The 19,580-nt window shown below is 34.9% G+C and overlaps 1 long non-coding RNA gene across 3 annotated transcripts in view; it reads right to left on the reverse strand.

The window, feature by feature from the left end:
* LOC105371308 (uncharacterized) overlaps positions 1 to 19,580 on the reverse strand; it is a 512,336-nt gene that overhangs the window by 219,338 nt on the left and 273,418 nt on the right. For all 3 annotated transcript variants that reach the window (XR_001752232.2, XR_007065221.1, XR_007065220.1), the window contains exon 3: positions 9,552 to 9,619. This is a non-coding gene — a long non-coding RNA (uncharacterized LOC105371308). The remainder of the gene's footprint in view (positions 1 to 9,551; positions 9,620 to 19,580) is intronic.

Consider the following 19,580-nt stretch of genomic DNA (forward strand, 5'->3'; position numbering starts at 1 on the left):
CACACTTAGAAGAAATAAGCACACAAAAACTTTTAGAAAAAACCTGCACAGAATAATTAAGGACGGATCCTGTCACATATTAAAATCTGCTTGATAACTTCTTCAAAATAAAATTAAATTAAAAAGATGTAGTATTTTCACAAAAGCAGACAAAAGAGTGAAACAGAATACCATCCAGAAGAATACATAACGGAGTACAAAATCCAGCATAGCTAAATATCTCAAAGCACTGACTCAAAGTGGAACTTTTAAAAATAGTGCTGGAGAAACAAGAGAGCAATTAGAAAAATGATTAAATTCAATCGATTCCTCACATTATACACAAGAAAAAACCCTAAATGAATCAGAGACCTAAGAGGAGGAGGGGAAGTTGGCAGGGAAGGAAGGAGCAGCAGAGGGCAAAATTCTTTAATAACTTGGGAAAAATGAAGAGAATGACAAGGACAAAATAACCTTCATATATAAAGAACAGTTAAATATTAAGAAACCAATAGCTCACAAATCATATAGAAAAGTGGGCCAATAACACAAACAAGTCTCAAATAAAGATATTAAAATAAGCATTGAACATATGAATAGATAAGATATCACATGTAATAAGAGAAATGCAAATTAAAACATTGATATATTGCATCTCACCCATTGGATTGGCCAGACTCCAAAAGCTTGACAATGTACTGTCTTGTTTAGAATATAGAGAACCTGCGCTGTTCTCCCACATGTTTCACATGCAAAATGGTAAAACACTTATAGGAAGAGTTTGCCAACATTTAACAAAGCTATATGTTCATTTGTCCTTTGCCCAAGCAATCGAATGTCTAAGAATTTATTCTGAAGAAACACTTGCAGCAATATAAAAAAATTGTACAATGTACAAAGTTATTATCTGCAGTATTATATGTGAGTGCAACACATTGAAAATAACCTAAATGCCCAAACATAAGAAATTTCTTGAACAAATTATTTCTATACATCATGTACTGTACACCATGTAGTACAGTGCTGCCTTGAAACTAATGAGAATGTCTATTTACTAATAGAAAGTGATTTCTAAAATGTGTTGTTCAATTGAGAAGGAAAAGTGCCCAAAATTATATATTGTATGCTGCTTTTTGTTTATAAGAGAGGGAAAAAAGTAAAAAATAATGAGGAAAAAGTCCTCCTTAAAAAACGAAATTTAAAAAAACTTTCACTTTTCTTAGTATGCTTAATTTTTGTAATTTTGGGGGTATAGAAATTTGGAAACTCCTTCAAGTACTGTACAATTGAACTAATGAGCTAAAGCATTGTTGTTAAAAGCTGTGGTTTACCAAAGAAGAAAATATCTGTGTCTACAAATATATATAATCATGATTGTGTGTGTGTATATTATATGTGTTTATATTATCTATGTTGCATTTTTTTCCTATTCACTGAAGTGGCTTAGAAACGACCCTAATTCTGGTAGTAATGAGCAAATCTAGTTTTCAGAATTTGGTTTCTAAGATTTCAGAATTTGGTTTCTACTCACTACCAAAAGAAACCAGAAATCCTCAAGACATAATAGATTGTGGACCGAGGACAACGAAATTGCAAAATGAGCCTGGGACATCTAGTTATGCCAGCGGATCCAGAAATGATGGGGACATAACAAAAAGACACAAGAGATGCCTCGAAGGGGCCTCTGTAGCCAAATCTGAATAATTTTGTCATCAAAATAGATAAAGACGGTGACGGATTATAACCTCTTAAATAAAAGGGGAATGTGTGATTTTGCTTTGACAATAAGCAGATAGATATAAAGATTGACAGATAAATTGTATATAAGAAAGGAAACAATGAAAAAGAGAGAACACATTCTGACAGTGGCATTTCAACTCTTCAAGGTGATGAGAGAGGAGGAGGTGGAAAATTGCTACTCTGCAATTCTCATGGTTAAAATTGTTCCAGGTAATTGTCATGGGGAGTGAGGGTTGATGATACCAGTGTGGCCTCATCTCAAAAAGTTTCCCTGGAGACTGCTTATTATGTGGAAAGTCAAATATAGTTGTATGCAGTGGAGAAGCCTGACAATGAGTTGAGGATTATGATAAATGTTGCTTTGAGTGACAGCCAGATACCATCTACTCCTGAATGTGTGTGATACATGAGAAAGGATTCTGGCTCATTTGAACCATAAGATGGCAAGGGATCCACAACTTGAATCTCATCTCTAGAAGCACCAGACAGCTCCAAAACTGAGGAACAGTCTGTAAGATAATCGACCTGTAGTTTTCAAAGTGTCAGTGTCATGAATGGTGCAGTAATGCTGAGAATCACTTCCAGATAAAAGAAGTGTAAAGATACTACACAGCTAAATGCAAAACATGTCCCTAAACTATATGCTGTATCAGAGGGGCAATGCTATAATAAAACATTATTGGAACAATATGTATCTAGCAAAAAAGTGGAAATGTACAGACTGTTGTGTCAAAATTAAGAATGAAGTAGTGTCCTTTGCATCACCTGGACCTGATGTAATATGTGCAGTTGACCTAATAAGTGATATTCACACAATGGAGAAACATGTAAACATAATTTCTGTTAATCAAATGCTTGCCAGGAGCCATGCTAGGCACTTCACAACTATCATTCCAGATAATCTTTATGATAGACTTAAGATATAGATACTACGGGGAAACCGAAATGTATAAATAATGTATCCAAGTGCCTGAAGTTCTTTCAAAACATCTTACTTTAGATAATTAAAGAAATTTTTAATTTCTAGTTTTATACTGATGACTAATTTTCTCCTAATGAATGTTAAAACCCAATGTTTTCATGGGGTATTAGAAAATTGCTTTAGAAAATTGGTCAATAGCTTATATCTGACTCATTTGAAACTACCTTTTTTATGTTTCTTATTGTTGCTAAAATATTTCTCACTGTACCAAAAAAAAAGAAATCATTTCAATAAATGCATACTTACACAACAGGAATTCTCTTGAACTCCTGATGTGAAACACGACACATACACAACTTTGTAGACAAAATAATTTTAAAAAGCATATTTATAAAAATAAGAGACAAAGTCAATTTTTGATATAGTTTGTAATACTGATAGAAAAGACTTACAAAATGTGTATTTTAAATATGAATAAAGCATATATCTTTATTTGATTGGAAAAGTAACCACCTATCACATTTTGAAAATTGAGTGCATTATAATGCTCTTTACATGCAGGGAGATTTCAAATCTGGTTTAATTTCCGATAGAGTATCTAATTTGAAAAAATTAAGCAATTATAGTTTATAGAGTCCAAATCATTCATTTTTAAAGTTGTAAACTCACTTCTTTTGACGTTCCTGTCAACCTCTAGGTGAAATGTTCCAAAAGTTTACCTAGTGATTTTCCCATTAAAATACAAATCAGTTTTCCTAAATGACAAATATGAAATTAAAACCCTCATACAAAGTGGAGACATGCCTTAATGACCGCAAATTTAAATCCATTCCTATTAAGATCTGAGTTATGGGATTCTATCATGAATAGGAGGAAGTTTGCCAAAGTGGTTTCTCACACTCTCTCATACTTGATAATGTGATGTTGACTGTTCAAGAAAGTATTTCCAATGGGAACAGATTTTAATTGATAACACTAACAAATTGCTAATAAATAGACATCAGATTAATTATGTGACATATTTTTAAATTGTGTGCATATGCTCAGAACTTTGACAAACAACAAATAATTTGGCACTGAAATATCCTATTTCTGTGACGAAAGGAACCTGAGATTTTGGATATGGGTGGCATTAATAATAACAATTTACTGTGGTAACTTGTACCTGTATGGTATGAACGTATTGTGTAGTATTCTTTAAAAGCTCAATTATTGTAATATGGTAGTCTGGATTGGATTCTGGAACAGAAAAGACACTGTTAGAAAACTTGTGATATCCAAAGAAAGTCTAGACTTTAGTTAATAATAATGTGTCAATGTTTTTATAGCCAGAACACTTGTGACTGATAATTTCTGATACTCAGCTCAGACTTCTAGGAAAATAGAGGTATTATTGACTTTATATCAATGGGAAAACCAGATATGGTTTGGTACAAGTTTCCTTTCTTCCTTCCTTTTTCTCTCTCTCTCCTTTTCATATCTCTTTGACTCTCTAATGTTTATATTCCGAAAAGAAACTGTCTGCATTTGACTAAGACTGCCACTGTCAGCTCCAACTTCAATACTTCTCCATGTAACATTCCAAGAAAAAAAAGAACCTTTTCCCTTCTACAGTATCTATGTATTAAAATTGCTAAGGTATTAAAACCTGTTTTGGTTACTTACACATTCTTAAAATGATAGTAATCAAATGAAAGACTGTTCATTTTTGAACAATCCAAGTCGTGTAAGCAAAGTAGTACCAAGTTAAACTATAGGAAAAAATATGTTTTCTTGGGAAAACAAAATCTAAACAAGCACATAACCAACACATCTGATTTCAAACATGAGATCTTCACCCTGCTTCCACAGTATCCTATATATTCCTCAATCAAATTATTCTGAATCATTACAAGTCTGCCTTCTTTACATTACTGGTGACTTAAGAAATAATGCATGATCATCTTTCTATCTCCATGTTTACCTGATGTTTGTAACTACAAAATTCTTGAACAGAATTTCATCAAGAAATTCAAAGACAAAGAAACAGAAAGACAAAGAAATCAATCTGAGGCAAGTAAGGGAAATTTGGAGTTAGGTATGTGACATGGTGATGCTCATTTTTACTTGCAATATGTGATACTTGGTCTTTGTCTTAGTTCCTGGATGCTAGATTTTTTTCTATATTAAAAAATGATTTTATAGATACTTTCCAACAAATATAGGGTCTAAAGTAATTGGGCTCTATAGTAATTTTTTAGGGATAACACTACAGGAAAACTTTCCTTTTACCCATTTTTATCACCTTCTACAAACACACACACACACACACACACACACACACACACACAGTCTTTGTCATCAAATAAATATTTAGCCTGGTATTGATCTGGTTCCAGGAAAGCCATTGATTGATAGATTGACTTGACTGTATAAAGGCCACTTTGGGTTCTGCTCTAGACCTATTTTTGCTTGTGTGTTTGTTTGTTTCCTTTGGGGAGACTAACTAACTTTTATCTTTGGTAACATTTTCTCCTTCTACACTATTATTTTCCTCCAGGGCTCCCTCTTCAAAACCCATTGAGGATATGCCCCATAGATCTTGGCTTTTTTTTTTAAGATGAAATGTTTTAAGTAAGGCTTCACAAAAGTACTGGAAGAAGGCTGTATAACTTCTCATTAATATAATCAGTGTGTTGAATGTCTGCAGTAATTATATTTGTCATCCAACAGGATTGATGACTGCATTACAGAGGCATCTGTGAAGTTCCAACTTCTGGTCCTTTCTCCTGAGAGAAATAATCAGAGGCAATACCTCACACACAAGAGACAATGCTTTCTGCCATGTGGCTCTATGAGCATGGCTTCAATTCAGTGGACCATGTTTTATAATGTAACTAAGGCAGAAGGTGGGGCAAACAGATTGTAAGCTTACAAGGTGACTTGTACACCAAGTCTGCCTGCAAGGACTCTTTTATGGGAAACATGAGAAATTCAATGAAAAATATTTATTTATTTATTTATTTTCCCTGAAGCATTCTGTATTTTGGAGTCATAAAAAGAAGAAAAATACAGCAAGAGAAAGAGTCAATAATAGAAAGGCATGTAAATATAAACTGATTTACAAAAACAATAATGAAAGGCTAACATTTATTGAGTGCAAACTATGTTGCTTTCAATAGACCAATAATTTCAAATGTATCTTTTCATTTAATACTCTAAATAAACCTCTGAGTTATTATTATTTTCACTATTAGATGAGAAAATTGAGTTTCAAAAACAGAGTAACTTACTTCATTTTACAGATCTAGACAGTGGTAAAGGTAAGGTTGAAACCTGGTAGTATGATCTAAAATATTTATTCTTGTTTTTTTCAAATTTATTTATTTTTGTTTTTTAAGTTTCAGGGTACATGTGCAGGATGTGCAGGCTTGTTACATAGGTAAACGTGTGCCATGATGGTTTGCTGCACCTATCAACCCATCACCAAGGTATTAAGCCCAGCATGTAGCAGCTCTTTCCCTAATGCTCTCCCCGTACCACTCTCCCCTGACTGGCCCCAGTAAGAGTTGTTACCCTCCGTTTGTCCATGTGTTCTCATTGTTCAGCCCCCACTCATAAGTGAGAGCATGCAATGATTGGCTTGCTGTTCCTGCATTAGTATGTTGAGGATAATACATTCCAGCCTTATCTATGTCCCTGCAAAGGACATGATCTCATTCCTTTTTATGGCTGCATAGCATACTGTGGTGTATATGTACCACATTTTCTTTAGCCAATCTATTATTGACTGATTGGGCTGGTTCCATGTCTTTGCTCTTGGGAACAGTGCTGCAATGAACATATGCGTGCACGTATCTTTATAATAGAATGATTTATATTCCTTTGAGTACATACTCAGTGATGGGATTGCTGGGTCAAATGGTATTTTCAGTTCTAAATCTTTGAGGAATCACCACACTATCTTCCACAATGGTTGAACTAATTTACATTTCCACTAATAGTATAAAAGCGTTTCTATTCATCCGCAACCTCGCCAGCATCTGTTGTTTCTTGACTTTTTAATAACTGCCATTCTGACTGGCATGAGATGGTATCTCACTGTGGTTTTGATTTGTATTTCTCTAATGATCAGTGATGTTGAGCTATTTTTGTATGTTTGTTGGCCGCATGTATGTCTTTTTTTGAGAAATGCTCATATCCTTTGCCCACTTTTTAATGTTTTTTTTTTTTTCTTGTGAGTTTGCTTAAATTCCTGTCTATTCTTAAAGTTTTCAGTGTTGGAGCAAACTGCACATACTCCTGAGGTCACTAGAGACTCTGTGGAATCCTTGGAGGAATACCACATGGGATAAATTCCAAGGTCTCCATGATCCCACACTCTGTGCTTTCTTTTCTTGTTATTCCTTTACTTCCTCAATGGCCTGACAATCAGGTTGACCACATCTCAGCAGACATATGTTTTTAAGAGCCTACAACATATAGTGCTAATTTCAGTAATATCACTTCTCTTTTAAGTCCTGTAGATCATTTTTGTTAATGAAATTCTGCAAGGTAGAGGTGGTAAGGGTAAGTTTTCATTTTGGTTTAAATTCATGCTGTTTTCCTATTAGGCTATTTCTATATTAAAAATACATCCTCCTTGCTGGTTCCTTCCTGCACGGTGTCTATGTTTGAGGATAAAATAAGTGAAACAAAGGAATAACAGTAGGCATGATAATCATCAAGACATATGTGCGTACACAGAGCAGCTAATTCATTCGTGAAACTCGTGATAGCTACTATTTATCAATGTGCTAATCACGAGAATAAACTAATCTGTTTTGTCTTGGTGTCATCAAATCCAGAATTCAAAGGCAGAAAAGGGAAGATTTATAGTTAGGAAAAAAAAATATGAGAGAGGAGCAGTGACACAGAGCATATACCTCTCATAGAGGATGGTCAATGTGATTTATATGATAATCAAAAGGAATGTGTGTCAGTTTATTGAATGTTATCTACAAAAATCTTTGACACCTTTGACAACCCAAAGAGTATGAGCTTCAAACACTGTGTTAATGACTTTGGTGACACACACCATAATAGATCAGCTGACAAAATTCTGAAAATTCAGTTGATATTTGTAAAGAGAATTTTTATTGTCATTTGGGAAATCAAATCATTTTATTTGAATACTTCTGAAAGCTGAGATGTGAAAAGGAAAATATCAGTGGTTGTTAACAGTATGGCTTTTGAATCAGAATCATTAACCAAATAGATTTCTGAAAGAATTGGGGATAAACGCCATTGCAATAGCACATCAGTTCAGATGGGTGTTTAGATTAAAGAAAAGAAAGGAGAGATTGACTGATGATTGAAGGTTCAAGCTAAAAAATATTGACTTCAGACTTTTAAGTAAATGAACACTAATGGGAAGACATAGGGAAAGAACCCTTTATGGGATCCAAATTCTTAGCACATTCTTTCTCTTGGTGAAGTTGAACTGAACTCTGAGCTCATATTGAATCCCCAGGAGCTTCAAGAGAGTTCAGAAGAGCCCAACAGGGGGCAAAGCAAGATCTGATCTTGTCCTTTTACTGCTTTCAGTGTTCAGTGTCTCAGAAGTCAGTGGGGATACTCAGTGTGAAGAAACGTTGTGGGAGCAATGAATAAGGAGAGGCATCTGTATCTTTTTTGCCCTCTGTGGCAGAACAAACCCCCATTTAATGAATGAGCTAATATATCATTTGAAGTTCATTATTAGAAACCATTGTGTAAGCAGATTATTAGCAACTTAAAGTGTGTAACTTTTTGATAACCCCCTAAAGTGCTCATTTTTTAACCCTGTTTTGAAATAGATGAACCTAGCTATAAAACCAAATTGCTCATTTTTTAGTTGTGAGATCGTGCAACTTACCAACTCTGATATCAGTGCAGTCCTCTATAAAACAGGAATAGTAGTACCTATCTCATAAGTGATACGTGAGTATGAAATGTAATAACATACTTGTAGCGCTTACATTGGTATCCGAACTTGACACTTAACAAAGGCTAGGTGCTTTCCTGCTTTGATTCTATTGGACGTTTCTGATACTGACAAGACTAAAATATGACTCATTTTTAACATCAGATGGGTAAAATAACTCTAACTTTGATTTACTTGATTATTTTGATGACTAATTTTAAACCAAATAGCCAAATAGTGACTATATTGCTAAGATTTTCAGAAAAATAAAATGGAGATATCTAAGAACATAGCTTAATATTACTAAAATTTGTCAGTGTGCTCGTGTGTGGACATTTTAGGAAAGATTCCAGGAACTGATATTTCATTTTTCTACATTCAAACTCCTTTTTGTAATCTCTATATTTTTGAGGACCTATAGTCAAATGTCTATGGATTAATTCACATGATAACTATCAATTAATACTTTTGTTGTTTGAGGTGGATGACGGTACCGTGTTAGTCTGGCTTATTTAGAAATTGGAATTGGAGAAAATTTTACAGTGATGACAGTGTATTGATAAGATTAAAAACCAGGACAGTAATGATGATGAGAATGAAAACCGAGTCAAGGAAAGCTATGAAGCTGAGAGCTTCAAGAAGACACAGCCATTGTATTACTGAAGGTGCTTACGTGATCTGCAGAACTTTATCTCAAAGGACTACCAAAAAAAAAAAAAAACGCACCTTAGAGTGATCCAAAAAAAAGATAAATGAGCAGGAATCTACCTACATGCCCCCATCGCACCTGCCACTTACTACTGTCCAAGATTTGCTCTGTTGTGTCATATGCCCTTTGGTTGACACTCATGAAGACTTGTGGACATATGTGTAAGTCCCAAAAAAGGTAAATAAATAAAAAGTAAAACGAACAAACAAACAAAAAATAGTTAATTATCTATTAATATAACTTGACCTTTGGGGCCCCGAGTTTGAACTTATACTCACCTACAGCATTCAGAGGTTCCCAAACTTTCTCAGTTTTAATGCCCTTTGTCAGAAATCTCTTGGTGCCCCTATGCCAAAAGAAATACATAAAAATTCAGATTACTGCAGAGTTAGGCTCAAATAACCTAATAAGTACTGTACTTTTGTCCTAAGGACTTGATGGCCATTTTTTAAAAAAATGCATATGAATTGAAACAAGATATAACATTTTAATTTCATTCTTAACTAACCACAATGAACTGCTAATGGGGTTTGTGCGCCCATTAAATGAGGTACAATTTTTCAAACCTTGGAATTTAACTATATCACCAACCTCATTTCCTATTTCATATTTATTTTTGTGGCATTCTTGTAAAGATATGATGTCATAAAAATATATAATCTAATATTTAAAGTGTGAACTACCTTGGAGGTGTACTTTGCAGGATGTCTAACAGACAGTATTGCTTAAAAATGTGAAATGCCCTTCAGAACTCCTGGGTACCCTGGAACATAAGAAACTTGAGTTTCAGAAAAGGCAAAGGAAGCAGGTAGCACCTTATGAAATAGGAGTTTGGATGAAGGAATGAGAAGCAGTTTAAAAAGCCTGTGTCCTATCAGAATCTTTTACACATTTTTTAATCAAAACTCTCAGAAATATCAGGTAACCAAGTAGCCAACTATATAATATTGTAGAATATTGACTCAGCTCTGTATTCTTACTCTTTGAGGAAAATCTTGATTCTAGGAAGATTATCTCAAAGTCTGAGTTTGGTAATGTATGAAATGAAACTAGTAGCTTCTAGTTTCATTTCTGGTCTCTCCATTAATTCTCTGAGAGTATTAAATGAGCTTTTCATTTAAAACATTTTGCTCATTACTTATGTCATAGCAATTGCTCAATGACTATTGTCTTGCTGTCTATGGTGGAATCCCAAAGAACCAAGGAATCTAATGAATTTCAAACATGAACCACCAATATAATCATTTCTTAGAATCTCTCCTTTGATTTTGTGTTACTCTTACCTCAGAATAGAGAGCAAGGTTTTCCTAGGTAAGAAGGTAAGAACATATTCTTGGGGTTTAAGAGAAGTTTTCCCAACATCTAAAGCAATTTGACCACAGTGTTTTGAAAATCAATTTTAAGTTTTCCAAAAAAACCCAGTTGTTTCAAATTACACATAATGGACAAGGCGCAGCAAAGAACAGACATGGTCCAGTGACCCTCAAGCTGCTATTCCTCATGTAGTTGAAAGCTACAGGTAAATCAGAATCTTTATGATATATGCCTATCAAGTTTGTCTCCCATGTTTGCTTCACTCTTTATATGTAAGTATCAGCCACTTCTCATGCTTTTGATCCTATATGTTAGATAAACTTTCACCCTTGGATTGTTAGTGTTGCTGCTTCTTGTCTTCTTGCATGGGCCATACATTGTCAGTTTTAACCTGAATATTATAAACTAGGGCACTCTTTTCCTTTTCTTTTGTCTAGTGCCCCAGTCTTAGACCATCCTGCTCCCAATTTGAATTGTTCATTTGAAAGATATGACAACATTCCACACTTACATTAAATGCACAGTGATGGACCAAAGGTGATAGATATCATCATATAATTTCATATGAAAAAAAATATAGAACAACAGTTCAAAGTTCATTTCAATTCAACAAGCCTGTCAAATGCTTAGATATGCCCAATAAGGGAAAACAAAAATGGATGCTAATCAACTAAAATAAGTGATTTGCAGTTATTAATTAATTGAAAGATAAAATACTTAGAATCTGTTACATTAAGAAGTTGCTTTATATTCATCACTAAGTCAAAAATTGCCTCATCTCACTCTTCTAAAATAAGAACTTTGTATTAGTCTCTTCTTGCATTGCTATAAAGAAATACCTGAAACTGGGTAATTTATAAAGAAAAGAGGTTTCATTGACTTCCAGTTGTCTAGGCTGTACAGGCTTCTGCTTCTGGAGAGGCCTCAGGGAACTTACAATAATGGCAGAAGGTAAAGGGGAAGCAGGTATATCTTACATGGTTGGAGTAGGAGGAAGAGAGAGGGGGGAAGTGCCACACACTTTTAAACAGCCAGATCTTTTGAGAACTTACGATCATGAGAACAGCAAGGAGGAAATCCACCCCCATGATCCAGTCATCTCCCGCCAGGTCCCTCCTCCCACACTGGGGATTACAATTCAACATGAGATTTGCGTACGAACAGAAATGCAAACCACGTCAAACTTGACCTTAAAAGATGATTGATGGACTTCTGGGCCCTGGTTTTCATGTAAGGAGCTTGAAAGTCACCACTCCATCCCAAAAATAAGTAAACAGCTGAACTAACTGAAAAATCAACAGCTCTTCTCAGATTTGTAAGAGAATTCAGGTCAAGTGGAAAACCACTCCCCCAAAAATGAAAGAGAAAGATAGACAGATATGGAAAATTTCAAGTTACTGGTGCAGAAACCCAGGAGCTGAAACTTCTAATGGAACCAATGTCAGTGTAAGAAAGACTAACCCGTAATTGATGAATTGCTGGGGGCTTGGTGTGGAAAATTCTGAGCATTAAAATCTTCAGAGGAATCTCCACACTTTTGTGAAATGTATGTCCAGGAGCTCAACCAGGCTTTCATAATAAATATTGAAGAAAACTTCCCTTGTGCTTCTGGCCAAGGAAGAAGAAAATAAACTATTTTGAAATAAGCCAGATCACTCTGTTCTTAATAAGGTCTGCCCTCAAGAGAAACTATTTTACCAGAGTCCACAGTGCTGGGGTTTTATCAGATTCTAACTGGCTTGGTGGAAGGGAAACTCCCAACTCCAGCTCACACTAGTCATCATGTCCAACTGACAGTGTTTGGATGTTTGTCCTTCCAAATCTCATGTTGAAATGTAATCCCCAATGTTAGAGGTCAGGCCCAGTGGGAGGTGTTTGGGCAATGGGAGTAAATGTCTCTTGAATGGTTTGGTGCCCTCCCTGCAGTACTGAGGTCATGTGAGAGGTGATTGTTTTAAACAGCCTGACACCTCTGCTTCTCTCTCTTGCTCCCACTCTCGCTGTGTGACACATTGGTTTTCTCTCATGCTCTACCATGATTGGAAGCTTCCTAAGGCCCTCACCAGAAGGCAATGCCAGAACCATATTCCCTGTACAGCCTGTAGAACTGTGAGCCAAAATAAACCTTTTTCTTTATAAATTACCCAGTCTCAGGATTTTCTTTGTAACAATGCAAATGAACTAGCACACCACCTAAGGGGCAGAAATGGAGAATGAGAAACACATAAAAGAGTCACAGTACAGAAGAAAAGGCTCAGTAAAAGACTGAGACTTTAAAATAGTTCTACAGAATCTATATATTCCATATTCATGAATAGGAAAATGCAACACTGTTAATACATCGGTTTTTTCAAACTTGATTTTTAGGTACAATGGAATCCCAATCAACATTGCAGCAATTTTTTGTACATTAGAGTGATCATGACATTTTCATGGGGAAGCAAAAAACCTAAAGCCAAAAAGATACTGAAGGATAAGAGCAAAATTGGAGAATTGACACAGCTAGATTTTAAGACTTACTTTAAAGCTACAATAATCAAAATGGTGTGGTACTGGAAGAAGAATAGACACATAGATAAATGGAACATAATAGAGACCAGAAATAGACCCACATAAATATTTCCAGCTGATCTGTGACAAAGGAACAAATGTGATACGATGGAGAGAAGATAATCTTTTCAACAGATGCTGCTAGAACACCTAGACATCTACCTTAAAAAATGTATCTAGACCTAGAGCTAACACCCTTCATAAACATACTCAAACAAATCTCAAGATGCATTACAAACATAATTGTAGAATGCAAAACTGCAAAAGTTCTAGGAGATAACAGAAGAAAATCCAGATGGCTTTGGGCTTGATGATGACTTTAAAAATATAATTACAACTTTTATTTTAGATTCAGGGTATATATGTGCAGGTTTGTTACACGTATATTGCACAATGCTGAAGTTTGTGGTATAATTGATCCTGTCACACAAATAGTGAGCATAGAACCCAATAATTAGTGCTTCAACATTTTTTCACCTCTCTCCCTTCACTCCTTTGTATTCCCCGGTGTCTATTTTTGCCATCTTTATGTCTGTGAGTACCCAATGTTTAGCTCTCATTTATCAGTAATTACATGCAGTATTTGGTTTTCTGTTCCTGTATTAATTCACTTTGGATAATGGTCTGCAGCTGAATTGTTGTTAATGCAAAGGACATGGTTTCTTTCTTTTTATGGCTTTGAAGTATTCCATGGTGTACATGTACCACATTTTATTTATCCAATCTACAGTTGATGGGCACCTGGGCTGATTCCATGTCTTTGTTATTGTGAATAATGCTGCGATCAACATATGAGTACATTTGTCTTTTTGATGGAATGGTTTATTTTCTTTTGGATATATACCCAGTAATGGGATTCCTGGGTCGAATGTTACTTCTCTTTTAAGTTCTTTCGTGATTGATGAAAGCAGTAATTGATAAGCTGAACTTTATTAAAATTAAAAGTTTCTGCTTTGTGAGACACCAGGAAGAGAATAAAAAGGCAAGTCAAATACAGGGAGAATATATTTGCAAAAGATACATCTGATAATAGACTATTGTGAAAACAAAGTATCTTAAATGAATACAAAGAACACTTAAAATTCAACAGTAAGGAAACAACCCAAATAAAGAGTAGGTCAAAACCTGAACAAACACCTTAGCACAGAAGATACGGTCATGATAAATAAACATATAAAAAGATAATTCGCATCATACATCATCAGGGAAATGCAAATCTAAACAACACTGAGATTTCACTACATATTTGATAACAACAAATGCTGATGAGGATGTGGAGCAACAGGAACTTTTGTTTATTGATGGTGGGAATGCAAAATATTACAGACACTTTGGAGACACTTTGAGAGCTCCTTAGAAAACTAAACATAGTCTTACCAGGTGATCCAGCAATTGAGCTCCTTGATATTTACCCAAAGAAATTGAAAACATGTCTATACAAAAATATGAAAATATATCAATAGAAGGTTTATTCATAATTTCCAAAACCTGAAAGCAACTAAGATGTGTTTCAGTAGGTGACTGGATTAATAAGCTCTGGTATATCTAGACAATGGAATATTATTCTCTGCTAAAAAAAATGAGTTATCAACCCATAAAAACACATGGAGGAAATTTAAATGCATATTACTAAGTAAAAAAGAAGCCAATCTGAAAAGCCTATATACTGTATGATTCCAACCATATGACATTTTGTAAAAGACAAATATAGAGACAGTAAAAAGATTTGTGGTTGTCAGCGGTTGACAGGAGGGAGGGATGAAGGAAAGAGAGAGAAAAAAAGAGTGAGAAAGAGATAATCTAAGAATATCCCTCTTTCTTGGTGAAGCTCATTGAAAATGTTTTATTGTTGGCCACTCACGGCAGTTCAAACAGGAGCTGACAAAGAACCAGAAGTAGCCTAGCTATGTATACGGAAACTCACTGCTAATGAAACTTGGATCACTGGCAGGTGACTTAGCCAATGTATTTCTCTGAAAATATTAAAATCTCATGTTTCCTTCAATGCTGGGATCAAAGGTTAATTCCTTTAAAGTGTTCCTGGTTCTTTGTTGGAAATGTATTTTTATTCTTCTAGTCTTGATATACTCCCAGTAGTCTTACTCTAAGAAGTCCTCTCACAGAAGCGAAATGAACTGTAGGCAGATTTGTCATATTTATGTATTTGCTTTATTTCTCTAATATATTACACATTCTATTCAACTTGAAGTGGGGTGGCTTACACACTTATCTTTCTCACTAGACTTGTAAGTCTCTTTTGGCCAGGGACCATTAATTTTTTTCTTTCTTCTCGCATTTCAGGAAAATTCAGTCTCAGAAAAATATTTTTATTCTATTTGTTTGATGTGTAACAGCTTACAAAATGCTTACATGTACATGAAGTGTTTGGCATTCTCCGTTTTATAATACAGTAAGTGAAATATGTGTCGCTATTTTCATTTTATTAATGGTATAAGTGTGGCCCATGTGAACCTTTCATAATTATACTGGAAGGGTTGTGATTCACACTCATCTTTCCAGAAACTAATCCAGTATATATTTTGTTAGACCGTGTTTATCTCAGCACTCATGGTCCCAGCAGCGCCACATTACGTATGTCCTTAAATATATTCAAATATACATAGTGGGAATTTAAAGGAATCCTTAAAGTATTTCTCTGAGAAAAAAAAAATGAGTATGATGTTTTTGGATAAGAGATGAGGTCTTTAGACATGAATCCCCAGTAATAACAAAGAAGACACTGGCAAGAGGGTGAAACTGCCCTAGCTTTTCCAGTGCTCACTTTTCCTAGTTTAATTACACATGAAATATGCAAATCACAATTTGGTGAACGTATACAGATGTCACAAACAAACACAAGTGCATTTTCAAGAGCGACTTTAATTTTCCTTCTTTTCATCCTAATTGACAACATTTGTAGGAAGAGCACAGTTTGAGCAGTTAAAAAAAAAGCCGGGAAAATTAAATACAGAGACATTCTGAACTGCGTAATATGTCTCCTCTTTCATTAAGAGAATGAAACATTTTCAGTGCCCTTTATAGTTTTAATTAAGTATGTCAGTATAATACTTAATTGAGAGAAATATGCAAATTATTGTTTCTTTATAAGGCCAAAGCTAAATAAACACAGCGTTCTGCAAGTACCCATCTCATTATGTATTGATGCAGAAGTCTTGTGCAGATTAAGTTATTGCAGGCAGTTCTTTTTACCTAGAAATTTGTCCCAAACATTTTCATGTTAGTTATCTGTATAAAAATACTAGCAAATTTGATTTTTTTCAATATCAGCATGTAATATCTCTTGGAGAAATGCTGTGCCGTTCTTAAATAAAACTAATATGACTAATACCAACGGCCAGCACGTTCCCTGTCTGTGGTGTAGGTACTTTTGTCTATGAAGACTAGATCAGGCTGCTCTACCATCTCTCCTTCAGTGCCAATCCAAGCATTCTGATTTAATCTTGCAAGAGTGAATGTACCATACTGTCTAGATATTAACAACAAGCAGATGTGTGAGATACTGAGGACTAGGAAGAACTTGCTTAAACCGCTCCTTATGGTTACTGTATCTAAGTCATCACAGGCAGATAGATACACATCAAACACGCTAATGTATTTTTCTGCTTGTTCTCAGACATCTTAACACCCAATAGTTCCCCTGAGCCACATTACTAACTCCTCTTGAATATCTGCATTTCTCTGACTTTATCCTGTGTACAAGGGATAGTCTTTTATGGAGATGCCCTTTTCTTCCTCTGTGTCTTGAAATTTTAATCATCTTTTTCACTAATTTAAATATTTTTTTCTGTGAAGTTTTCCCTACTATTCTTAGGGATCATTTGTTCCTCACTCTTTATGATGTTAGCTCTTTACACATTTATTGGTGGTATCAGTTATTATAACACATTGCCATTAATTTGTAGTGCTGTCCTCGACCTCTCCACATCTGCCCCCAAATTGCGATTTCTTTATCACTCTAAACCTATTGTTATTCATCTTTTATGGCCCATTTTCCCAATCCCTTTGAAACTTAATAGGCATATTATAGATGTTAGCAATTTAAAGTTCCTTTGTGTGACACCTTTATTGCTAAGTGTCTAAGATATATTATTGATAAAGATTGCATTAGATATTGTTTTGGGGAAATATTTAAATATTCATTGGACAACATATTCAGCAGGATTAAAGTGATTCTGTAATTATGCAAATGACTAAAGAAATGTGTTTTTGACCTTACATTTTTAAAATTGTTGACGACATGTTTAAACATTACCATACTTGCCCAGCCTTTTTCTCATCAGTGAAATGCTGCATCCTATGTGAATTTAATGAGGGTTAACTGAAAGAGAAATAGAAGTTATTTACCCTCTGATTATAAAACGATATGGCTGTCTGTTTATAACCTCATGTAAAATGAACCCTTTCATTAATAGTGAACGTTAGTCATTATGTATGGATTTTTATTTATTTCTGCTTGTCTTTATTAGGTATACCTAGTCCATTATTTTCAGCCTGGGACAGAAACACTCATTTCTGGAATGCATCCAGTTTCTTCAATCTGGCACGGGCTTGCTCACCTGTGTGTACCAGTACATGCATTTTCTCAGCCTTGGTTATTGTATTAGTCCATTCTCACACAGCTATAAAGAACTGCCTGAGACTGGGTAATTTAATAAAGAAAAGAGGTGTAATTGACTCATAGTTCCGCATGGCTGGGGAGTCCTCAGAAAACTTACAACCGTGGCAGAAGGCACATCTTCACAGGGGAAGAAAACTTGGACCTTCTTACGTGGCGACAGGAAAGAGAAGAGTCCGGAGCGAGGGTGAAAGAGCCCCTTATAAAACCATCAGATCTCATGAGAACTCACTTACTATCATCAGAACAGCATGAGGGAAACCGCACCCATGATCCAATTACCTCCACCTGGTCTGACTTTGACACCTGGGGATTATGAAGATTATAGGGATTATAAGTGAATAGGAGAACGGCATGGGGACACAGAGCATAATTGTATCAGTTATTTTCTCCACACTTCTTCATTGCACCTTTCCTTCTCTGTCAAGGCAACATCACCGTAACCCTTCTCTTACATATCTTCTCTGACTGTCCCTATTATTAAATAAACACCCTCATCTATGCTCCAATAATACACTATTTACTACTTCTTTTGACGCATTTATTAATCCTTCCATTCAATAATTGTTCACTGAACACCTCCTTTATATTTGGAACTGAGGGTATAATTGAAAGTAGTAATACCCGTGATGTTTTTCCTCCTAGAGTTAGGTCTGGTTTAAGAATTGCTCCTGCATCAGACATTTCAGACATATTAAATGCATATGTGTTTGTCGCCCTATTAGATTCTGAACTCTCATCTGGGACAGGAGCTGCATATCTGAGCATTTAGGGCTGGGGAAAGTGGTACTCAGTGAAGTTTTGACTGAATGGTTACCCAAAGAACTTTGCATTTGTTTAGTCTAATTCTCAATCAACTGACCAGTAAATCATTAGTAAACTATTCAATTATCTTGGTAGAGTTGGAAATATATTTTAAGTATTCTTGCAATGCAGTGTTCTGCATAAAATTAGAGCTCACTAAATCTTCTTTGATTAGTTGAAGGCCACTATGGATTCACCCCTATGCCATAATACATATGAATGAGTCTAATAATAAGATAAAGCGGTTATGTGTCACTGTTTCTGTTTACTGGGCATATTCGATTGAGTATGTAATCACACCTTAGCTCTAATGACATCAGGTCTGTGAATGTAAGGTTCTCTGTTCAGTGTCAAGGCATGGTCATTAACACGGACAATATAGATCAGCGAGCATCATATATAACTGCAGCTTCCAATATCTTGGTTCATGTTTTTAACACACATTCCCATAATTTCTCTCTTGCCCCAGTAATTAATAATAAGATTATCAAAAGCCATTCATTCAATGTTTGAAAGATGTAAAAGATGCCTCCCAATACATACTTAATGGGCAAAGGTGATGCTATGTTTGTTTTGATGGGGATGTTTATCTGCCAGTTATAATGAGAGCTCAGCAAACACATGATTGGCCTGTTACCAGCACATGAGATAAAAACATTCTGGAGGAAAAGAAGTCCTTATGCCTCACTGGTTCTGTCTCTATCAAGTAGACACCAAAATGCTTGACATTAGAGAGAAGAGGCATACATAAGGAACTACAAGAAGATATGACAACATTTTTTTGTTGGACTGAAAATTTTAAAGCTGATACAATATAAGCTCATGTATTTTGCAATCAACTAAGGAGTTACAATCATCTCTCACTTAATATTTTTACTATATCTTCGTAATATAATAACACTTTAGAATAACTTATATCTATTATTCTATATATCTATATTCTATATTCTATAATAAACATCTATTATATATAATTTATATCTATTACAATAATAATTTATAT

Source organism: Homo sapiens, chromosome 16 (genome assembly GCF_000001405.40).
Source record: "Homo sapiens chromosome 16, GRCh38.p14 Primary Assembly".
Lineage (NCBI taxonomy): Eukaryota > Metazoa > Chordata > Mammalia > Primates > Hominidae > Homo > Homo sapiens.